General features: G+C 36.3%; 1 protein-coding gene across 11 annotated transcripts in view; it reads left to right on the top strand.

The window, feature by feature from the left end:
- COL25A1 (collagen type XXV alpha 1 chain) overlaps positions 1 to 25,179 on the top strand; it is a 493,934-nt gene that overhangs the window by 432,848 nt on the left and 35,907 nt on the right. For 9 of the 11 annotated variants that reach the window (XM_011532335.3, XM_011532334.3, NM_198721.4 and 6 more), the window contains 10 exons: positions 661 to 723; positions 6,424 to 6,492; positions 7,266 to 7,310; positions 8,840 to 8,884; positions 10,078 to 10,155; positions 16,886 to 16,909; positions 17,531 to 17,575; positions 21,008 to 21,052; positions 23,592 to 23,672; positions 24,560 to 24,622. In XM_011532335.3, the coding sequence (XP_011530637.1) occupies positions 661 to 723; positions 6,424 to 6,492; positions 7,266 to 7,310; positions 8,840 to 8,884; positions 10,078 to 10,155; positions 16,886 to 16,909; positions 17,531 to 17,575; positions 21,008 to 21,052; positions 23,592 to 23,672; positions 24,560 to 24,622 (558 nt within the window). The remainder of the gene's footprint in view (positions 1 to 660; positions 724 to 6,423; positions 6,493 to 7,265; positions 7,311 to 8,839; positions 8,885 to 10,077; positions 10,156 to 16,885; positions 16,910 to 17,530; positions 17,576 to 21,007; positions 21,053 to 23,591; positions 23,673 to 24,559; positions 24,623 to 25,179) is intronic. The other 2 variants (NR_045756.3, NM_001256074.3) reach the window with 2 other exon arrangements.

The following is a 25,179-nucleotide window of genomic DNA, read 5'->3' as shown; positions in this document are numbered from 1 at the left end:
AGGAACTGAGAACAAAGCCATTATGGCTTTTGCTTTAAAATTTTCTTATAGATTTTGGGTAAACTCTTATATTTGACCTCAAATAGTTAAAAAAAGAAAATAAAACTTTATGGATAGTCAAGCTAATGTGAACGCTCATCTCAAGTATTTTCCAACACCAAATATGTAGTGTATTTTCCAACACCAGTTCTCTACCTCTCTGATTCTCTGACACCAACTGGGTGTCCTACAATTCGATCCTATTCTGGCACTAACTCCCCTGGTTGGTATCAAACAGATTTAAGGGCTCAGTCTTATAAGAGTGACCTGATTTTGGTCACCAGGCACAGGTATTGAGCCCGCAGGTTACCTGTACTTCTGTCTGACTCAGCTACAAATTCAGGGGTTTGCACATCCCCTCCCCCCGACTCAGGATTGATATTTGCTACAGCAACTCACAGAAATCAGGAAGGTGCTATATACTATTACAGTTAATAAAAATGAACAGCCAAATGAAGAAGTACATAGGGCAAGTAGCTGGATCTCGGCAAGAAAGCTGTATACAACCAGGGAAGTAAAATCTCAGTAGAAGAAAATGAGTTTAGTTTTTATTTATTTATTTATTTATTTATTTATTTATTGTCAAATGATTAATGATCTCATATGCCCATGTTTTTAAAGGGAGAACCAGGTTTCATTGGTCCTCAAGGAGAACCAGGCTTACCAGGTTTACCAGGAACAAAAGTAAGTGGGCCTCTTTCTTTCCTTCTTTCTTTCTTTTTCTTTCTTTCTTTTCTTCCTTCCTTCTTTCCTTTCCTTTTCTTTCCTTTCTCTTTCTTTTATTGTCTTTCTTCCTTTCCTTTCTTTCCTTTTTCTTTCTTTCTTTTCTTTCTTTCCTTCCTTCTTTTCTTTCTCTTTCTTTCTTTTTCTCTTTCCTTCCATCTTTCTTCTTTCTCTCTCTCTCTTCCTTCCTTCTTTCCTTCCTATCTTCCTTCCTTCATTCCTTCCTTCCTTTCCTTCCTTCTTTCCTTCCTTCCTTTCCTTCCTTTCTTCCTTCCCTTCCCTTCCTTTTACTTTCTTCCTCCTTCCTTCCTTCCTCCCTTCCTTTCTTCCTTCCCTCCTTCCTTTCTTCCTTCCCTTCGCTTCCCTTCCCTTTCCTTCCCCTTCCTTTCCTTCTTTCCCTTCCCTTCCTTCCCTTTTCCCTTCTTTCTTTCTTTCTTTCTTTTTCTTTCTTTCTTCCTTCCTTCCTTCTTTCTCTCTCTCTTTCTCTTTCTTTCTTTCTTTTTTCTTTTCTTTCTTTCTTTTCTTCCTCTCTCTCTCCCTCCCTCCCTCCTTCCTTCCTTCTTGCTTGATTTCTTCTTTCTGAAATCTTTGTCATATATTTTTAGTCCACTATGTTGAAAGAAATGTGGGACAACTTGGTAATTTAGGTGACCATATATTTTTGCCTAATAGAGAATGAAAGCAGCTTAATCTACCCATTACTAACACTTCTAATGGCACCACTGTGTTCAATATTGAGTAGTGGAAAGTTAATCTAGAAAGCCTTAGGCAAGACAACAGGATGGTGAAATATTTCAGTTGTTCCACTTGTACCCCAAATTGCTCCTAAATTGATGGGATGCTATTAGCTTCCTGGCCATATGGAAAAGTAGAGAAATTCTGAGGAGGAGAGATAGAACTCATTAACTCCTGCTCCTCATCACCAATTTCAGGATATACTTGTAAATCAAAGGTTATTACTATTCCCATTACTCCCCAGATTTCAAAGGCAAGTACTGATGTCATATAGATTCCTAAGTGCCTCATCCCAAAAGGATCTACTCTGAATAACGTCTGCAAAAATATTCTATAATGAAAACCATCTCATGATCTTCTACTTGGCAAACCTAGGGAGGGCTCTAAAAGCAAAATCTATATATACTGCCATGCAAAAAAATATATATATATGCTGCTATGAATACAGTCAGACCCAGAGTTCTCTTTTTATCTACCCTGAAAGACATAAAAAGTACAGCTCTGATGATGGAACTTTACTCATGACAGACTCATGAATCAAAGAAGGGGCAAAATTACATCAAACTACATTCTTTTATTTTTAAACCATAGCAGGCTTTGCCTCAATGTGTACTGCATTCAACAGAAATAAGCCAGGGATGATTTCCAAGAGTTACAGAAATATGTTCATGGTCTGTTCTGACAGAAGGGCCCTCATTTCTGCTGGTCAAGTGAAAATAACTCTAAACCTAGTAAATGGAAACTATGTGTGTCCTAGGGGGGACTGAAACTCCATCAGATTATGCAAAATTGTTTTCTCAAGAAATTTCTTCACATAATGAGCTGTCAGGCTTATTAACAAAATATGAGGAATGCCTGTTTTAGCCTGAGCAGATTCACACAAGAAATGTCTTTCTGGAATAAAAAGAGAGAGTGAGAGCAAGAAAATAATGAGCATTCCCTGTTAATACAAGAACGGTTGCATTTATTCAGGCTTGCAGCCTCGGACCCAGGGCAGGAAAGAAGTCAGCCTCGCAGATGGGCATGATACACAAAGAAAGGGCGGCCTGGTCAATGAAGGAGAAAGCCAGGCGTGAACTGGATCTAAAAGTGTGTGTGGCATTTTGTGTGCTGTGCAAGGGAAAATAGAAAAAACACAAGCAGTAGAGAGTGAAGTTCATTCCTAAATATCTTTTCTTTAGTTTCCTGATTTTAAACTATTCTGCAGTTTCAGAAAAATTTCCAGATGTAGAGGCATAAAATCCACATTAATTACTGTTATGAAGAACCCAGCATGATTTTATAGACCAGGTACTCATATAACAGATACTACTCTGAACCCTGAGTAAAACTAAAGAATGTATTCTACCTATTTTGTATTTCCACAGAAGGGATATGGATAGGAAATTCATTTTACTAACATTACTTTGAGGTTAATTGTCAGCTGAATTACCTACCTTAACTCAGCTGTTAAAACAGCAACATGCATGTGCACACATATACACACATCATCGGTATTATTTGAAATATCTAATTTGTGTTGAATCCACATATGTTAAGTATCAATGTTATGGTTGGTTCAGTGTCATCATGGGAAAGTCATGGTTATTTTAAAAATCTCTTTCAGCTGAACACCATTCTTCCACTTGTGTAGACAGTCTGGATTTGTACCACTAAATTCAGATTTAAAAAGTAACTAAGACTATATTTCTTATTCCCAACACAGTGAGGAGAGATCATAATGAAGGAAGATGTACAATGGCATCAAAACATGCTGCATCTTTTATACCTACATTAGTGCCTGAGAGGGACCTCTATCAGGCTAAGGAAATAGGGGGAGGGGCCTGGGCATGGTGGCTTACGCCTGTAATCCCAGCACTTTGGGAGGCTGAGGCAGGCAGATTGCTTGAGCCCAGGAGTTTGAGATCAGCCTGGGCAACATGATGAGACCCCATCTCCACTAAAAATACAAAAATCATCTGGGCATGGCGGCGCATGCCTGTAGTCCCAGCTACTTAGGAGGCTGAGGTGGAAGGATCACCTGAGCCCAGGAGGCAGAGGTTGCAGTGAGCCGAGATCACAACACTGCTCTCCAGCCTGGGTGACAGAGTGAGACCTCAAAAAAAAAAAAAAAAAGAAAGAAAAGAAATGGGACTATAGTCAGAATATTTTAGAATACTTTTACTAATACTGTTTATTCATTAATTCACCAATGTTTTGATCAAATATTTTTCTGCATTTAAGCATGGGAAGTAAATGCAACAGCAACAGTTTCTATTCTCCTGAAGCTTACATTGTAGTGTGGACAAGGAAGAGATGGAAGGAGGGAAAGAAGTAGACAAATAATATAATTTCAGAGAGTGATAGGGAACTAATAAGAGACATAATAAAAAGTGATTCTAGCTGAGTGTGGTGGTGCACACCTGTCATCCTACCTACTCAGGAGGCTGAGGCCAGAGGACTACTTGAGTCCAGGAGTTTGAGGCTATAGTGTGCTATGATAGTGCCTGTGAATAGCCACTGTACACCAGCCTAGGCAACATAGCAAGGTCCCCTCTCTAAAAATATATAAATGTTAAAAAGTAAAGATGTATTGACTTCACTCTTGTGGTGAACTACAGATAAATTATTTTTAAGGGTTTTTGTTTTTCATAGTGGACTGTTTTAGAATTCTGTAATTCTTAAAGTAAAACATTAAAAGAAACACCAAATACTTTACAGTTTTTTAATAATTTTTATATACCAATAGAAGCTCCTTAGTCTCACTCAACAGGGTAATGGGGTGGGGGATGACAAAAAGCAAAAACTCTTTTCATTTCTGGGCCATTGTGTCTATCTCCTGTATCTAGAGAAGTCCCTTGTCTTTCTCCCAACCTCTCCATTTTCACAACCTCTTCAGTGCTGTTAAGAAACCTGAGTCTTTAACACTTGCCTCCTGTCTTTCTTAACCCTTGACTAACCTATCCCACCTCCCCTATAAAACCACAAAGGCTTCCCAAAGTGGGCATGATACAGATAAGAATCTTGGAATTTCAAGCCCTACATGACCCACCATAGATCTAATTCTATTTTCTTATCTTTTCCAAGATGAAGTATTTCCTTCAGTGAGGAGAGCACCTCTTTCATCCATAAATATGTCATCAACAGTCTGAATTCTAAATGTTTGATGATTGAAATTCTACCCCTTATGCAAGAAGCCAGACACTCTTTACTCTGTGTTTAGGGAGTATTAAAAGGTACCATCTTCCTGGAGGGCAATTTAGCAAGTTTTTAAAAATATTCATACTTTTTTGACCTAGCAATTTTCCAACTAGGAATTTATCCTGAGAAAATGATCAACGATGTGCAAAAGATTTACATTTGAAACATTTATGCAAAAGTTGAAGATCGAGTACCATCAGTTTTACCCACTTTAAAAGCTTTGTCACTTTGAGCAAGTTACTTAACCTCTCCAAACTTTGGCTTCCTCATCTGTAGAATATGGATAATAAAACTTTTCTCATTTGTCCTGAGGATTAAATAGGATAATACATGTAAAGTGTTTTGTGCAGTTTCTGCACTCATCCATGCTACAGTCATTAACAGCAATAATTATGAAATAAACCCTACTCATCCTTCAGGACACGACTCAAGTCTCACCTCCAGGGATCCAATCCACAATAATAGATACCAACAGGGATTCCCCTTCTGTCACATAGGGCCTTACATTACTCCTTAATCCTTAACTATTTTGGTTCTGCAGCTCTTGTCTGCCTAACTAGATCACTAGCTCCTTGAGGACAGTAGCCATATTTATACTTCATAGAGATATGAATATATTAAAAAACTGTAAAACCCGAACACTTTTACATTCATAAACTATGAGATGAGTACTATAACTTTGTCCATTTTACTGAGGAAACTGAGATGTACAAAACCTAACTAACTTACCCTAGAACACAGAATTGGTAAATAGCAGAGCCAGGAGTAAAACCTAAGATGCTAGATTACAGAGCCAGGAACTTAACCACTTTGCCATGCTTCTTGCCAGCAGTGCTTAAAAAGTGACTGCAGAATGAAAATGGATATTCATTCCTATCTTGAGGTATAATGATGGCCTTTATCAATTCCCTTTAAAGGTCTTTCTATTTACCAACATAGCTATTTGACAGGCATTTACCAAACCATTTCCTTATCTGTAAAATGGAGATGATAATACAAACATTGGATAATTGCATATTAGTCAAGTTTCTCCAGAGAGACAGAACCAATAGGATATATATAGGGAGATAGATAGATGAGTGGGGATTTATGAGGGGAATTGGCTCATACAATTATAGAGGCTGAGAAGTCCCACAACAGGCTATCTGCAAGCTGGAGGAGACCCTGGGTTGACGGTAGCATGGCTCGGTCCAAGTCTGAAGGCCTCAGGTCCAGGGAGGCAGATGGTGTAACTTTCAGTCTGAGGCTGAAGGCATAAGAGCCTGAGGGGCACTGGTACAAGTCCCAAAATCCAAAGGCCAGAGAACCTGGAGTTCTGATGTCCAAGGACTGAGAGGAAGGGCTCTCAGCTGCGGAAGAGAGAGTTTGCCTTTCCTCTTCTATCTGGGCCCCCAGCAGATTTGATGGTGCCCCCTCACGTTGAAAGTAGATCTTCCGTACTCAGTCAACAGACTCACCTGCCAATCTCCTCCATTAACACCTTCACAGACAACCCAGAAGCAGTGCTTTATTATCTTTCTATGTGTCCCTTAATCCAGTCAAGTTGACACCTAAAATTAACCATCACAAATTGTTTTGATTATAAAATGAGATAATTCATGTTAAGAGATTAATAAAGTGCTGGGTACAGGGTAAATCAATGAAAACTCTCTGCTTTCTTTGGTTTCCTTCAACTCATTTATTAATCTACAGGGACCAGCCTGGGTGGGGGGAATGACCATTTACCTGTTTTGCAATTTGTGACAGGGTGAACGGGGGGAAGCAGGGCCTCCTGGAAGAGGTGAGCGAGGGGAACCTGGAGCCCCCGGACCAAAGGTGAGTTATTCTTAAACTGGAAAATAACCATTCTCTGGCTTGATTTGATTTAGAACACAAAAAACTAAAACAACATTCTTAACAGGTATTAAAACAGCCCAAATCACAAATAGTTTGTTGAAATGCACACCAACTGGTTCTTTTCAAAAGAGATTTTACAATTCACCTCACCCTGTTAACTCTGTTCTGTTCAGTGAGCAAATTGATAGCATATCCAAATGTAAAAGAAGTGCTGTCATATTAACACATTATCACTCAATGTGTATTAAAACTTACTGAAAAAAAATCCCTGTTGATAAGTGCTGTGTTAGTTTCTATGGTAACTTAATGGAGTGTAACACCTTGAAAATATTAGAGCTAAGGACTTATTTGTCTGTTTGACCTTATTCATTTAAACTTTCTGCAAACTAATGTGGTCACACTTTATTTTAATAGCCCATCCTAGAGACACAGGAAACTATTTACTCACTGATGAAAAGGAAATTGATGCAGCCAAACACTGTTGAGACTAATGAGAATTATTCACAGAACTCTTCTCATCCACTGATGGGAGGGCAGCCTTCAAAATAATAATGGAATGAATTGATGATATGGTGATGATACTTATGTTTAGTATTATAATAACCGACATTCTGTAGAGCCATATATTGAGGCAGTTAAAATAAAGTGTTTCCATTTTTCTTCATTATTCTGAGTCACTGCTAATTTCTATTTTTCTGTTCTTATCTCTTCTATAATTTTATCTTTTTCATCCTCTTATTCTGCTGTAATAGGGGAAACAAGGTGAATCAGGAACTAGAGGCCCAAAGGGGTCAAAGGTCAGTAACCAGATAACCATTTAAATATAACATGAGGCCTTCAAGATCTGTGCTTTTTGCCTTTGCCACAGAGGCATGTTTTTCATGTTTTAGATTAAACTCTTTCACACAGTGGAACTGCAATACTTATTGCAAAAGGGATTGCAGTATCCCTATGATGATATCTCAAAACAATACGTTTGTTTCATCTTGCTTGTTTTTGAATAGTCTAGTGCTTCAGAAAATTCTTTAAGAGAAGTTGTATTTCCTATTTCATAGGAATAGCTTCTTTGAAAAAAATTAAGAACTTTCCTTAAATTGTGTATTGTATAATCTAATTTTTCATTTCCTCGCTGTCTTTGTGATAAATGCTCGAATTATACTCTGCTTTTTAGTTGACTCCCTTCGTTGCATTAAAATTCTACTGCCAATTGAAATTCTCCTCTATATCATACTCTTTATACTATCTGCAATAACATATATACTGTCAGCAGAATCATATTATTTAAAATGCTGTTAGCTACTAATGTGGAAAAAAATGTGTGCAAGATGAAGAAAACAGAGAGCAAAGATTATTAATGCTTCATTCATAGCAAATTTATTATGATCAATGTTATTGGCATACTGTGGATGGGAAGAATTATAATCCTTTTTCCTGCTTATCTTTATTCATCCTTACCCAGTTTATAGGAATCTGTAGAAAGACATATAAAAATGCTTTGAAGTCCATACAGAAAAAGAACCCTATCAATTTAAGGCTGTTTTAAAGAACCTTTAAATCTACACAGGTTCGAATCTCTTCTCCAAAGTTTCAGTTTACATTTCTAAGAATTTTGAGGGCTTGGACTATTCCTGCTGCTCTACAGTTGAGGTAATGCCACCATCAATGAAACTTCAGATAAATTTCCTATTGCATTGAAAAAAGAGAGAGAGCTGGGTTTGCCCTGCCCCTGACCTTCAGCGCTGCCAACCTGTTCCAGCTGGCTGCTGTCCACTTCAGCACTGAGTGTTAAAATGCCTATACCTACAGATGAACTTTTCCTTAGATCCCCATCATCAGAGGGAGGCCTAGCCTGTGACCTTCCTTTCCTAATTCTCCCTAGAATGAGCTCTCTACTCCTTTCCTGTCCCAACTATCTACACTTTTCTTCTCAGAGGAAAAACAATTGTTGGCTCTTTTTCCCTTTGCCCCAAATCTCTTCATAAAAAGGAAGAAAATGGCTCAATTTGCAAGGTAAAAGCTTACTTTGGGTGCCATAGAAACCACTTGCTTTGCCTTTGCAGATCCTACCTAGTGAGACAGTTACCATATATATTGTTGTTTCAAGATACTCTATTACCTGAAAAGGGAGTTTTTTAAAAAAAGGAATTTTAGTTCTTTTCAAGCTGCATCTTAAAAAAGCATTTGCTATTTTGGTGGTGGTTGCTGTTGTTTTTCACTTCAGAAGTTCATATTAAAGGTGCTTCTGTATGGCATAAACATGTTCTTACACGAGATTTCTAGATTCCCCCACTTCTGATTAAGTTTTTTCTCTTTCCAACGGGAAAAGGGGGATCGTGGAGAAAAAGGGGACTCTGGAGCTCAGGGACCAAGGGTGAGTGTTCCTCTCATCCATCTAAACTTTTGCTCCCTACAATCCCAGATTTGAATTCATGTCTGCATGGCTATTCATATGACATCTGTATTAATAATACTTAATAATAGTATTGGAGGTAGACTACTGTAATTATTCCTGAAACACCCCTACCTCCTTTATTTTCCTCACCAGGAGCAGTGCATGTAGGGATTCCAACACATAAACTAAGCTTCTTTGAGAAGGCCTAAAGAACTCCCCCTGTCTACTTTCCCTCTGTTCCCATCCAGCTAATGGAATTTTCCACTTTTCAATTAACTCAATTATAAAGAAAGCAATAACCCATATGTTCAGTGTCTTTTTTTAAAAAAAAAGGGAATTATGACATGACTAATGGAAATTAAGTAGCAGATCTAATAAGCAGGGTAGAAGTCTTAAAAATATACATGTATTCTATTGTTTGTTCCCTATTTTGTTTAATTTTTGTGGCATTCATTCCTGATGGGAAAGCCAAGTATTTTTCTACAGAACAATGTTCTATCTTTTTAAAGAATGACGGCCAGGTGCAGTGGCTCACACCTGTAATTCTAGCACTTTGGGAGCCAAGGCTGGTGGATCACCTGAGGTCAGGAGTTCAAAGCCAGCCTGCCCAACATGGTGAAACTCTGTCTCCACTAAAAATACAAAAACTAGCTGGTCATGGTGGTGCATGGGAGGCTGAGGCAGGAGAATTGCTTGAACACAGGAGGCAGAGGTTGCAGTGAGCCGAGATCACGCTACTGCATTCCAGCCTGGGCAACAGAGTGAGACTCCGTCTCAAAAAAAGAATGAGGAAGCAATGTATGAGGTATGGATGAGGAACAAAAGGTTAGAGGATGCTTTAATAAATATGAATAAAGCAAATAAAATTTTACATGTCACATCAGAGTAGCCTATATTGTAATTTTCAGAAAATAGTTTCAAAAATTAAATCGTATTTTTTATCAGATTTCATATATTGAACCTACCAAAGACAGGATATAAGAAGTGGTTTGCCTCCTTTGAGATAAGGATACATTTTGAACATAATTATTTATATATTCTAAAGTACAGTTGGGCCTTAGTAGGGAAATGATATTCAGAGAGAGCTGTGAGTTGTATTTCTGTTTCTGCCACAGTCCACCCTACATGCTAAGCTAATACCCATGATTTTCCCTTGATTGGTTTTGTCATAGGGTCCACCTGGTCAAAAAGGGGATCAAGGAGCCACTGAGATCATAGACTACAACGGCAACCTCCACGAAGCCTTACAGGCAAGTGACTGGTCCCTGCCCTGACACACACTGAGAAGGATGCTGAGGAGCACCCATGTAATGTGTGCAAATATGAGCTTCCACACCCTCTATCCTCAGAGGACTCCACTGCTCAAGGCACCCCTTCTCCCTGTTCTCAAGAACTCATCCCCTTCTCTGTGCCCCAGTTTATCTTCTTTATTTTGTAGCATTTTTCAATCATTTCTTTCCTTTCCCTTCCACCTTCAGATATAGTTAAGCCTTATGAGGGATAAACCTTGTGTTAGTTTGGCCAATTTTTGCCTCCTTCCTTGCAGAGGGAATGTGGCAAGGCAATCAAGAGCTCTGTGCCTCTGGGGCTGGAGCTGCTTGCATTCAAATCTCAGCTCTCTTGTTTACTAAATGTGTGACCTAGGGCAAGTTATTTCACTTCTCTGTGCCTCAGTTTTCCCATCTACAGAATGAGGATGGTAGCAGTATCTGCCTCATAGCCTTGTTGAGAAGAGCAAATGGCACAATATATATTATACTCTTAGAACAGTTCCTGGTACATAGTAAGCCCTCTGTATTTCTTATTACTGCTACCATATAATTCTTTTCTTCTTATTAAGTAAGCAATAGACTATGTGGCTTGTTTCTATCACCTTTGCTTCCTATTCATTCTTTTCATGTTTAGACTCCTGCATTCTAGCCTCTATCATCATTCTGTTGCATCTTCTCTTACAAAGGTCAACAATAACTTCTATGTCAAGTCCACTGGACTCATCGCCCCTGACATTTTTGTGATATTGATATCAAACCACCTTCCTTTGAAACTTTTTTTTTGTCTCTCTGACCTTCTACTTTCATTTTTTCCATTTTTTTTCTCTGGCGTATCACCTTTATTTTGGTGTTTCTAATTTGTCTGTCTATTCCCTAGTTTTTGGTATCCTCAAGTCTCTGATCTTTTCTTGGTACAGTCACTCCCTCTGTGTTCTTCCACATTATGGCTCTCAATTCTTTCATCTCTAGATATAATCTGTGTATGCCCCCAGCTGTCCAAGAATATTTCCATTATGGATGTATGAATGCCTTATCAGCTTCCACCAATACAATTATACTGGTTACCTTTCCCACCTACGAAATGAGTCCCTTTTTTAAGTGACCGGTTTCTGTTAGTGATACCATGAATCTGAATTTTGAGGGAATAGAAAGTTTAGAGTCATTTTTAAACTATTCTTAGTCCTTTACTTATTCTGTCTCACCAAGGGGCTGCTATTTCCTTTTTCAAAGTATCTCTTGAGATTGCCTGTTCTTTCCATTCCTAACTGAGTCCACATCCTGTTTACTTCATGCCTAATACAGCAACAGCTCCTTGACCAATGACTCTTTCCCTAGTGCCTCCTGGTCCTTCTAATTCATCTTGTGTATCACTCCAAGATTAATTTTTATAAATGATCATGGCTTCGATGGTTCTAATTTGCTCAGAAACCTTAATGACCCCCCTACTGTCTGTTCTATCAAGCCCAAGCTTCTCCATCTTAATCCTCTATAGTCATGCCCTTCCTGTGGAGAACTTTTCATTTCTCCACAGCAGAATTCCCCCTGATATAATCATTGTTATCATATCCATACAAGTCTCCTCCTTTTTGCATGTGTTCATCCCATTCTTCCTTCCTTTCTTTCCCATATAAATTCTACACAACAATCCACTGCTGCCACTCAGATGAGTTCTTCCTCTTAATCCTTTTAAACATTAGTGGTGGGGTTCTAGTGGTTTACTATTTAAAATCAAACTCCATAGTTGATTTTAGTCTTACCTCTTATGAGATTGTAAGCTTGGTGACAGAAAAACATTTTATGCTTATATTAACCAGATATGTAAATATTAAGTAAATGGTTATTGGTTGAATAAGTATACTTCATTCGTATGTACAAGCCATTTCTTTGCTTGTAAGCCGAATTAGTTGTTTTAAATATATCTCTGCTACTTTGTACCTGTTTGAATTATTTTTCCATCTTTATGATTTTACTAACACAATCTAATTATGACAGATCTGTACCTGTATAGGTTCTTTGCTCCAACTATCATTTTTAACTAGTAGAGCACTAAGTCGTTTTTTTTTTTTAAATCTATTTTCAGCTCAGCCTATTTTTTGGCCTTTTCATTATTTTTCTTCTGGTAAAATACAAACAGAAGCATGTTTACTGCTTGGAGAAATGTTGCTTGGACAGTATCTTTAGTTAGGAGCTTGAATTAGTGTTCCTCTGTGTAATTGGATTCGATGTAAGTAGTGGCCTCTGGGTTACTGTCAAATTCTAGAACTAGTTTTCTAAATTATTCCCTTTTCCCCACAAGTTGATAACTATGTAAGGAAAGAAAGGGAGACAGAGACAGGGAACACAAAGTTTTGGTGTGCCTACTGTTTTCAAAGTTCTTATAAAATATAGGGACTTTTTAAAAACTTAGTTTATTAGCAATGTTGTAAATTGCCCTTGAACTACTTCCAGTGGCCCCATAATTCCAGCTACCTTTAAGAGGTATCTACTTTCTTATCCTCCAAGAACTGTTCCAATATAATTGGGCATTTTCTGCAACACTGTGATCAAGTTCTCAAAGCATTCTTTGCATGAACTGGGCCTGGCATGAGGCAAGCTATCCTTAGTCTAAAATGGAAATCTCTATTTTGATCTCCCCTCTATTAGCTCAGTCATTTGGGGAAAATTGCTTAATGTATCTATACTTCATTGATCTTATCTGCAAAATAAGGATGTTATTGGAATAAATTTTTTTCTATGAGTCCACGAAACCTAATACTATTCTTAGGGTGATTTTTCAGAGCTTCTGAACACTTTTTACTGATATGCCTAAAAGCATTGTACTTTTTAAAAAATGTGACACCTATATTTCAATATGAAACGATATACTTCTGTTTCTTTTTCTCATCTTTAATTGTATATGACTACTAAACAGCCAATATCCATCATAGTCAACTAGTTCATGCTTATGTCTCAACCTAAATGTTTATTATTCTTATTGGGTTGGTTGTGAGGCAACTATTTGCCATGCTTATAAATAGCTTATAGTTATCTTTTCACATCAAAACTATTGGTTTCCCTAACATAGTGCTCTAGTGAATTGAGTCCCTCATAAAATTAATACATTAGATTGAGAAGAGATGGTAGACATTTATTCTTCTAATTCTCTAACCAGTGATGGATATTTACAGTTTTGCAGGTATGTCATTGTTATCCCTTTTAAAACAATCTGCCAAAAATACTCTAGGATAATCAGATAAATAGAAATATATTACAGTTATAATCATACCATATTAGAAATATAAAATTTTACTGTTGCCTCTATTGAAGATTGTGATTTACATAAACATTGCCATAAGCTATTTATTTTTATTTAAGGTGGCTAAATTTCTACAAATTAGCAGTAAAACCTCTGTTTCCTAACTGACTCTTTAAAAAATTCTCATCGCCATCTAAACTAAACCTGTTCTCTAGTATGAATCGTGGGCGAGTTTAAGCTTTCATCATTATGAGAAATGAAAGAAAGTAACCTTTAATTCTAAAGAGATTCAGATAAACATTTCAGGGAATAAATCACAAAGCAGGCTGCTGGGCTTTACCCAATTTGCAGTTTCTGTAGTTCATGCCTCCCATTTCACGTCGCGTCTCACTAGAGAATGCCATGTCTTTCTCCATCACCACCAAAAATTCTGACTTTCAAATCATTATTTGAGTTCAAAAGAGAATCCTGTTGAGTTTATATAGCTTTAACTTGGATTTGCCACATATAAGAAATGCACAGTGAGCCACATCGTTAGGACTTCTCTGTGTGTCTGCATACTGGTGCTTCCAGTTGGTGGTCAAGACTATGTATTTGTGAAGTTAGCTCAGTTTGTTGTCATTGAAACCTATTAGCTGGATGGAACATTATACAATTTTAAAGTTTCACAAACATAGTTATTTAACAAAATCATTTAAACTCCATCTGTTAGGTCAGTTACTATTAATAATATTCTTTTATTTTGCAGCTCATTATTAAACATGTTATCTTTAAATTTAAAAAAATACAAACTAGCATTATGTTCAGGTGAAAAATGAATTAGTATATGGCACATGTTGGAAAACCTCAGAGAGCTCAAATTTGAAAATCCCTTTCCTTTTTAGGGCTTTATGATCCTGTTTTCTAGTTAAAAAGTAACATGTAATTGGAAGACAATGATAAAGAAATTATTTCTACTCCTTAATTTTCTGATAGCCTTGTTTAAATGACTTCTCTACACTGTAGGAACAACAAAAAAAAAGTAGCTTTACCATAACTACAAATCCAATTCTTGTTCTAGGTGAATTCCTGAAGCATAAACTGAATGGAATTATGTTACACAGATCTGGTGGTGTAAAATTCTGGGACCTTATTTTTTTCTTATAACCTTGCCCCCAGTTTGTGGACATTTTACCTTTTACAACAATTTAAAAAATAAAAAAAAAAAACAGTAACAACAGCTCAAATCAGAAATTGGAGTGGAACAGTGGAAAACAGAAGGATGGTGTTCAACTGATACCTACAAGTTTGAATGTAATTGAATAATGTTTCTCTATGACCAGAGTCCCTAAAGGAAATGTTCTCCCCTCTGTGATTTCATAAAGTGGTTATCAACCCCATAGAACTTTCAGCACAGAACCTAGACCAGAAAAATGTTAATTCAAAAATATGATTCATGGATCAGGAATTATGTTTTAGAGATTCAGACTTAGACACGGTATATTTTGTTACAGTTCTCTAACACTTTAAGAAATTAGATTAATTCTTTCAGTATATACCCAGTAATAGGATTGCTGGGTCAAATGGTATTGCTAGTTCTAGATCCTTGAGGAATTGCCACACTGTCTTCCACAATGGTTGAACTAGTTTACACTCCCACAAACAGTGTAAAAGTGTTCCTATTTCTCCACATCCTTTTCAGCATCTGTTGTTTCCTGACTTTTTAATGATCGCCATTCTAACTGGCATGAGATGGTATCTCATTGTGGTTTTGATTTGCATTTCTCTAAAGACCAGTGATGATGAGCTTTTTTTCATATGTTTGTTGGCTGCATAAATGTGTTCTTTTGAAAAATGTCTGTTCATATCCTTTGCCCACTTTTCAATGGGATTGGTTTTTTTTCTTGTAAATTTAAGTTCTTTGTAGATTCTGGATATTAGCCCTTTGTCAGATGGATAGATTGCAAAAATTTTCTCCCTTTCTGTAGGTTGCCTGTTCACTCTGATGGTAGTTTTTTTGCTATTCAGAAGCTCTTGAGTTTAATTAGATTCTGTTTGTCAATTTTGGCTCTTGTTGCCACTGCTTTTGGTGTTTTAGTCATGAAGTCTTTGCCTATACCTATGACCTGAATGGTATTGCCTAGGTTTTCTTCTAGGGTTTTTATGGTTTTAGGTTTTACATTTAAATCTTTAATCCGTTTTGAGTTAATTTTTGTATAAGGTTTAAGGAAGGGGTCCAGTTTCAGTTTTCTGCATATGGCTAGCCAGTTTTCCCAACACCATTTATTAAATAGGAAATCCTTTCCACGTTGCTTGTTTTTGTCAGGTTTGTCAAAGATCAGATGGTTGTAGGTGTGTGGTGTTATTTCTGAGGCCTCTGTTCTGTTCCATTGGTCTATATATTTGTTTTGGTACCAGTCTACTATAAAGATACATGCACATGTGTGTTTATTGCAGCACTATTCACAATAGCAAAGACTTGGAACCAACCCAAATGCCCATCAATGATAGACTGGATAAAGAAAATGTGGTACATATACACCACGGAATACTATGCAGCCATAAAAAAGAATGAGTTCATGTCATTTGTAGGGACATGGATGAAGCTGGAAACCATCATTCTCAGCAAACTAACCCAGGAACAGAAAACCAAACACCACATATTCTCACTCATAAGTGGGAGTTGAACAATGAGAACATATGGGCACAGGGAGGGGAACATCACACACCAGGGCCTGTCAGGGGGTGGGGGGCAAGGGGAGGGATAGCATTTGGAGAAATACCTAATGTAGATGACGAGTTGATGGGTGCAGCAAACCACGATGGCACATGTATACCTATGTAACAAATGTGCACATTCTGCACATGTATCCCAGAACTTAAGTATAATAAATCAATCAATCAATAAATTTTAAAAACTCATTTGTTTTTCTGATTAAGTTCACAAAAAAATTGGAATGCCAAAAAAAAGGAAATTAGATTAATTCTATGTCGACTAATATCTTTAGTTATGGCACACACACACGCACACACACACACGCACAAACACAAAGTTAGTTTTAATGCAACAAATGAGCTGCAGACTAAAAGAGAAAAAATATGCAATTGGGTATTTCAGTTTTCTCTAATGAAGTACTCTCTAGAATAGTGCTTTTATCAATAGCAAAATTTCTCAGTTCACAATTATACTGACAAGCCTCTAGCATATATGACTTTACTGCATTATTTTTTTCAATCAGGTGAATTAAAATTTTGACATTTCTTTTTCTTCAGCCATAGATTTTTTAAATAGGATTCTAAAAATAATTTTTAAAAAATCTCTACAACTATACTGTATTGAAGATAGGGTAATATGTTCTCAGTATCTTGTCAAATCCTTTTAAGATATCAGACTAGCCAAACATATTCAAAAAGTTGATTATTTCACAAATGTATTACTGTACTTTGGCACACAAAATAGATAACTCTGTCTTTGTCAACACATTTTCCCAACAGAGGATTACCACCTTAACTGTCACGGTAACTCCTATTGCATGCTTTCTGTGGTTTGTGGTTTTGTATTTGGTGTTGATGCATGCCAGCCAAAATGGTACTAATGTAGCTATTGTTTTTATCTGATACTTAATTTTATGTTTTCTTGTATTAATAATCTTTTACATTTGCTCCAGTTGAATCACTTTGTCTGCTTAGTGAAAAGGTCAAGAAAAAAGTGATTGCTAATTTTCTTAAAAGTCTCTGGCCTTATCTGAACAATATAGCTTTATTCTTTAGGGTTTGGGAAATCAACGCCTTTGGGGTGGAGGGGTAAGGAGTGTATGTAGAAACAAAGCTAATATTCGTATGCTAATTCATCCCAATACGATGAGTGTGGAGCATGGCAGCAATTTTACATTGCCTTACCGAATCTACCCAGAAGCACCTTCCACATTATTTTGACCTCAAATGTGTTAATATTTTAGCATATAAATAGGTGTTTTTTTCTAATTATGTAACTAGTAAAATTTTTCCTCATTGCAAATTTATATTTGGGGAGATCTGATTACGATAGAAATAAGGAAGGTGTATAGTGTGCCTATTTAAGGTATGAATTTTAATACATATAATTACTACTTTTAAAAACTGTGCTTTTTCTTGATTTAGGGTCCCCCTGGACCTCCTGGACCTCAAGGACTACAAGGGCCAAAGGTTATTCTTTATTTACTTGTTTCCATTTATCACATACAGTGCAGGGAATACCGTATTAAGTATATGCATCTTTGAAAATCAGTCTTACAAAATGCTGAAGAAGCTGAGATCAACAGTATTGTTTTAGAGAGCGAAGAAAAGAAATTGAGGTCTGGACTGAAGGAAGATAGAAAATTAGAAAAGAAGAAGGGAAAATAGGAAAAGAAGAGAGAGAAATTTAATTTAGGGAAGACATTGAAAAAAGATATTAAACAAGGGAAAAACAAGTTCCACAGAAATTATAAATGTAAAAAACACTAAATGTGGTGTATGAAAACAAAAGAAAATGTTTGATTAAAGGAGGATTAGAGAAAATTTAACTTGACACCAAGAAAGATCCTTGCTTCTAATGCTTTTATAGTAAAAAGAGTAAGAAAAGTTTTAGTATGGTGCATTCACAAATCAAAATTTTAGGAATCATTTTTCATAATGCATTCTTTATTATATACTTTCAGACATTTTGCCATTTAAATCTTATCTAATGAAACATACCAACTAAAAATAGTAGAAGGCTAGAATTGCTTTATATCTAAACTTTGTTGATGGCTTTATCCCTCCAAACTGAAGCTTAGTCATTCAACCATGTTTGATCAATTAACACATGGCCAGTGATTCTGGCTTTTCAGAACTGAGCTACATGTGTTGAAATATGACTTTCGTCATTGGATTCTTGTAGGAGATTCAAGTTATTTCAGAATTCATCTTTTGTTAATGCTTCTTAAGGCAGTTTATTTGCTAAGTCTGTCATAACACACACTCACACGTATCAGCTTTCATACTCTCTCAAGATACTTAAAAACAGAAATCTAGTATATAGAAACTTTATTTTTCTATCATATAAAGGAATATAAATTACAATATTACTGAGCTCCTTGCCTATATATTTAGAACATAGATCCTAATTTCAAATAGATTTCTTGTATAACATTAATATAAGGTGTGGGATTTTTAACTTTCTATTTCTCCAGCACATTCTGGTCCCTAAGAGACATAACACAAAAAAACTATATATAATCTTTATTCTTGGTGAGCAACACTGCCTGGATCCCCATTCAATAATATCTTGGTGAGCTGGACTAGATATCCTAGAAGGAAATCTGCAATTTCTTTTTTTCCTTTGTGTAGAACCAACCAAGTGTCTAAGTTCATTATTTCACCTCCTCGCTTGACTAAGACTCCAGAACCAAAATTGTCCCCAAAGCTAAATACATATCTCATTTCCCACAAACCTCAAAAGTTTCCAGGACTTTTCTCTTCTCTACAGTCCAAAGGCCTAGAGAAGCCCCAAAGGCACCCATTCTTTGACCCAAAGAGGCAAAAAGGACCTCCTAGGTAAAAAATCTGTATCACTAAAACCTATATTCCCCTGGTTTTATAATCCAATTGCTATTCGTGTATTAATTCAGTTATTCAGTAAGTAATTTTTGAGCCTCTACTCTATGGTAAGGACTAATATCTAGTAAGGATACTAGAAAGAAATTCCAATAAAGGGCTTATGGCCTAGGGAGGGAGATAGGCAAGTAAAGGTACAATTATTAATAGAGTAAGTGCATAGAAGGTCCCTCTAAGTCTTAAGAGCCAAGGGTGGCTTTGAGTTGAAACTGAAAGACAGGAAGAAGTTGCCCAGATGAATATCTAGACAAGCAATATGGAGGAGGGTTGAGTCATTCTCGCTTACCTCCTACCCTTGCCATCCTTCCCAGTATGCTATCATCCCTACCCCACCCACCCCACAATGGTCTTATAATTGAGATCTTGTGTTAGCTGATGTAGTCCTTTATGTTTTTCATGGTCTGTCCTTGAGAAGGTTGGGATAATTGGGGTGGAATGTAGCTATGACCAAGAGACAGCAAAATGTAGCCTGAGTCAAGTACAGAACCCCTTCTGATCTTGGAATTCAGACTGAATGGGAACTTACTCAATTAGCATTTCTCCTTCATTTATCACACAAGAATTGTTTGATTCCCTACACATCAAATAACTCTTACAAACCCCATTTGAGGGGTGAAGGATAAATGAATAACTCATGAATTATGTTTTCCTTTTAAACACTTGTGAATCATATTTTAAAGGGAAAAGCCTAGCAAAGCCATCATTATTGGACCCACAGTGCTGACAAGTATTCAGACTCTGAATGAAACTAGGGCTTAGCCAGGTGCATCCAACCTCAGCAGACTTGTTTGTGGCAAAATAAAATTTGCTGCTACCACAAAGAGCAGGAAACCTGAAATAAGAAAAGGCCCTTCCCCCGCCGCTTTTCTTGCTTCATTTGTTTATAACCACAAGATCATGCCTTCCTTAAACACTGGAAAGCTCAAATTTCATGCTGTACCTCATAGCTCTTAAAGTTTTTACCAGGGAAAGGAGCTCTAACCATTTCAATATTGTGGTTTATAGTATCACCAAACAGGCCTTTCTAGAAAATACAGCCTCAGGTCAGCTCCGTTGGAAATCTGTCTGTGAGGCAGGCCTCTCACACTCAGAAGAGCTGTTTTTACAAAGTTTCCACAGTGTGGGATTCAGGGATATTTGTAATGGGATCCACATAAATGACTCATTGATACAAAATAATGCTTACTTTTCAAGGAATTTATTTAGTCACCTTTCAAAACTGAGAAGTGACTAAACATTTGCTGTTCGATTAACTTTCTGGCGTATTGTATAAATTTGCTTTTAATGAACATCTTCAGTTTAAAAAAGCAAACAAAAATCTCTATATTTTGAGTTTGTCAAAAATCCTTATAAATCATAACATGAATAGTAAATTTTAGTTCATTCATAGCACAGTATAAGAAATTGAATTGATCTAAAAGTTATTTCATATGCATTAAGATATCTGATTTATGATATCCTTCAGTGAGGCTTTTCTGGAAATTGCACACTCACAATCATGAATTTGTAACTAACTGTTTGAACTGTGCCAATTAAAATATTGTTGAAAATTCATGGGGCTTTGCATTTTACTTTTTTAGGTTAACTGTTATGTTTTCCTTTTTACTGAAATTGGAAAGTGAGAGAAATCATACAGAGGTTGTATGGAGAAAAAAATTAACTAACTGAGGCAGATAGGTTGTTGCTATAGGATATGGTCAGCTATCAAATTGTGTCTATCAGTTTTCCTTGACCACTCTTTTTTAGCCTGCATCTCACATGGAGAAAAAATAAAAACACTAAAAGCATTGGATCTTAGCTACATATAAATACTATACATAATCTTGAAGAAAGATTATTACTTCCCTTAGTTTAGATATGTGCTATAATAGAATATTCTCGGGTTATGATGCATTTGCTGAAAGTCAAATTGTGGTGTTAACAAACTAGCATCGTTTTTTTATGTAGTGCAGTATGTTACCAATGAGAATGGAGGCAAGTCATCTATTTTTATCTTAATAGGGAGAGCAGGGATCTCCAGGAATCCCAGGAATGGATGGAGAGCAGGTAATTTTCAAAGATGTATACTATTATTTAAAGCATCATTCTTGATTACTACTTTTATTGTAGGTTTGAAGCCAAAATGTCATGAGCATTGATATTTGATACCCTCTTTCTTTTAACCATTTGTTCTAGAGACTTCATTGACTCTAAAAAGCAGACATTAGTTTTCTTCGCAAAAACATCTAAGCCATATGATACTTCAGTTTTGTTCTTAATACTTTATATCAACCTACCAGTGACTCCCCTGCAAATTTTTAATAGACTTGTAAAATCATTACCAAGTTAGTAAAACTAGCCTAATTTTTGTCAGTGAATACAAATATGTCAAGATTAAAATCAGTGACCATAGTTTCCACAAAACTAAATCTTGCCTATATGCCTTTTTTAGACAATGTTTTCTTTTCCCAAATAAAGATGACACCTAATCCCTAGATCCTTAGAAAATACAGAAACAAGCAGGGAACTTGTAGCTTGACAGAGTATGGTAGTGTATCTCTGAGGGTTCCCTCTAAAACAGAAGTCGGCAAGCTTTGTTAATAAAGGTCCAGATAGTAAATGCTTTAGGCTTTACAGGCCACATACAATCTGTGTTGAAGTTTCCTTTTTATTTATTTATTTTTGGTTAACACCTCAACAATTTTTTTTTAAATTCACTCTGTACAAAAACAATCCCTGGGATGAATTTGGCCTGTGAGCCATGGTTTGGCGACCCCTGCTCTAAAAGAATCTGAGTTGGAGAACGTGGACAGTATTCAGAATTTGGAATGGAATCAAAAGGGTTAATTTCAAGATCTTTAGTGTTTTCTTGATTTCCATTATTTACCCAAGAAATGGCTAAAATCAGGAAAATCATAAGAAATCAAAAGGATTCTTAATACAGTTAGTGCACATATACTCCTCAGAAGAAAGTATTAGATAGGAAAATTAGGTTTAGGATTATTTTTACTATCAGAGTTATATGCTGAAATAATAATAATGCCATATTAAATGAACATGTGGTAAACAGAAACATAGATACCTTAGATGATTTGCTATATCATAGATCACTTAGAATTTTAAAGTCTGTCTATGTTACTTCTCTGACCATTGGTCATTATAAGCAATTAATTTGACATGCATAATGATATACATTATGGCTCCTACAGATATAGTAGCTAGCTTTTTTTTTTCTTCTGTAGGCTTTGCAAGGTCTTCTTCTATCACTAAGTACATTGGGTTGCCGTCCTGCTGCCATCACTAGATCCCTAAAAATAATCCAGGTCTTATTAATCAGTAAGATCCATCTATTCATTCAGGCACCTACTTACCCATTGGGTAATTCTGAATGCTATTAAATAGGAACAGTTAACAAGAAAAGTTCCTTTCCATAAATAATTTTTCTCCATCGGTTTTAATAAAAAAAAGATAAACAGGTTTGTGCAGCCTAGAAGCCCCTTACCATAATAACTATGATCATCTCTACTGAAGAATGAGCCATTAGTATATTGAAGTGAGTTTCCTAGGATGAAAATGCTTAAAAATATAAATTAATGTCAATATTAATATTATAAAATTCAGGCCAGGCATGGTGGCTCACGCCTGTAATCCCAGCACTTTGGGAGGCCAAGGTGAGCAGATCACCTGAGGTCAGGAGTTTGAGACCAGCCGGGCCAACATGGTGAAACCTCGTCTCTACTAAAAATACAAAAATTACCTGGGCATGGTGGCGCATGCTTGTAGCCCCAGCTACTTGGGAGGCTGAAGCAGGAGAATGGCTTGAACCCAGGAGCCGGAGGTTGCAGTGAGCCAAGATCGCACCATTGCGGTCCAGCCTGGGTGACAGAGTGAGACTCCAACTCAAAAAAAAAAAAAAAAAATTACAAAATTCAGATTTGTTAACATTCAAAATGCATATTTATCTATTTCCTCACTGTAAAGGAGAATAAAAATACCATTCTGACTCATCTCATAGAGACATCATGAGAACAAAATAAGAACACTGTGAAGAGGTTGTCATACTTTTAAGCATTGATTGAGCGTTAGTGTGTGGTAAATGATCCAGTGATTTATCAGTCTGTAGACTGGACCATTGAAAACTCATTGTGACTGGAACTTCTGCCTGCAGTTAGGAGGGAGGGGAGTATAGTGGGTAGAGATGAGAGAAATTTGGACATTTGTTATTATATAACACTAGGTCCCAGTTCAAAATACATCCTGTATTGTTGAGAATTAAGTCTATTAAGTTGTTTTCAGGTCTGGTGAGATAGAATTAGCTGCCAGGTAAAAATACAAAATCAGGAGAAATTATGTCAAAACCTAAGTTCATGTTTTTTATGCTTACATGGCCTAATAGAACTTAATCTATTTCATTACAAGGAGAAATAGTACTGATTGCATGTAGAAGGTTGCTGTAAGAAATAACTCTACCTAAAAACAAAAATCAGAATCATCTCAACATTGAACCCACCTATTAACGAAATTGATCGGAATTCTGTTTTCCCTAGGATGTAATTATCGGGGGTCATTATGCTGCTTACATGCCAACCTTGTCTATCATTTTTAGGGACTCAAAGGCTCAAAGGGAGACATGGGGGACCCAGGTATGACAGGTGAAAAAGGAGGAATTGGACTTCCTGGATTACCGGTATGTTTATACTTTCTGTTTGTTTATACTTTTTATATTATGTTCTTATTAAGATAAATTAAACAATCAGAAAAGAGTTATATTATTAGCTGCAATCTCATCTAGTGGTTCATCTCATATTTTTATTTTGAAATATTTGAGGTATTATTGGTTAATTACTCTAGGGAACTCAAATTGTAAGGCATGTAACCAAATGAATTATAAAGGAAGCCTTCATGTTTTCCTGAATTGTTTTCCCTAGAAGATAATAAAATAAACATAGTTGGCCACTTTAATTTAGTATGCATAAGATGGTGGTAACTGGTTATTGTAAAATAAACCATAATAAAGAAATGAGCCAAAAAATATAGGAGAATTAAAAAACAAATTACTCTGGAAAGTGTCCTCTGTGTGTATGATACTATGGGATGGTGTTTTATGGTTTTCCCCGTAATTCTAACTGAGAATTTGGAGGAGAAAATGTAAAAATTGTTTTAAAAAATGCAGTAAACTCCACTGCCTTAGACTTTTCTGTAAAACAAGGAAGTATATAAATGTCAGTAAAAACTAAGTTAAAAGCCTTACCTTTGCTGTTTAAATTGCGCACCACCATAAAAGATATAACATTTATAACTCAATGTATTTAACACTGTAGGTCTTTAACCAATCAAGCTCAAACTAGTTTTCATTTACTTTATATTTTATTCTACATATCACCCATAATCCTAAGGATTTTAATAAGCTTGCTATTTTAAGCTAGAATTCAAGGAGATAAATCCTTCTTTTATGTAGCAAGTGCATAATATTATAAAATGTCAAGAGAACAATGGGTTTGGGGAGAAAATTCAGTTGTCTCTTACACTGGAAATAACTTTACCTGCTTAACTCTGCTTAATGGTTATTTATAGGGAGCCAATGGAATGAAAGGAGAAAAAGGAGATTCTGGAATGCCGGGTCCACAGGGTCCTTCTGTAAGTCCATGGTGGCTGAACTTCCATTGTTCCTGAACCTCCTCACACACTGACATGTTACTTACCTATTCCACCTCTGCCAGATGGCTGCACAACAGTAGACAGACCTCAAACCTCTTGGTTTGTCAAACTGTAGAAGAAACATCCGTCAGCCCTGCACAGTGATACACAAAGTATATCAGAGGTCTGAGGTAGAAGCAGGTTTTCAGAGGACTGTCTAATCCTGAGGAAAAAAATCAATGGTTTTCTCCTAACAATGGGTAGATCTTTGTGAATATAGAACATACTTGTTTGTTTCTCCAGAGCCCTGCTTATGCTTAGTGAAATATTTGAGTTTGATAGTAGTGACATTATAGCATTTCTTGGTAATTAGTTGCTTCCTTTTCTTTTAACATAGTTTTCATTTATTCTGGCTTTTGGAGAACTTTTTTTGGAATTTTTTTTTTTAATTCTCATAAGGGAATTTCTACATCTAGAGAATCAAACACATCACTTATTCTAGTATCTTTCTTCCTCTCCAACTACTAATGGCCTTAGCAGAACCCCAGCACAAGATT

Source organism: Homo sapiens, chromosome 4 (genome assembly GCF_000001405.40).
Source record: "Homo sapiens chromosome 4, GRCh38.p14 Primary Assembly".
Taxonomy (NCBI): domain Eukaryota; kingdom Metazoa; phylum Chordata; class Mammalia; order Primates; family Hominidae; genus Homo; species Homo sapiens.
Note: the sequence above shows the minus strand (reverse complement) of the source record. Positions and strands in the feature narration are given on the sequence as shown.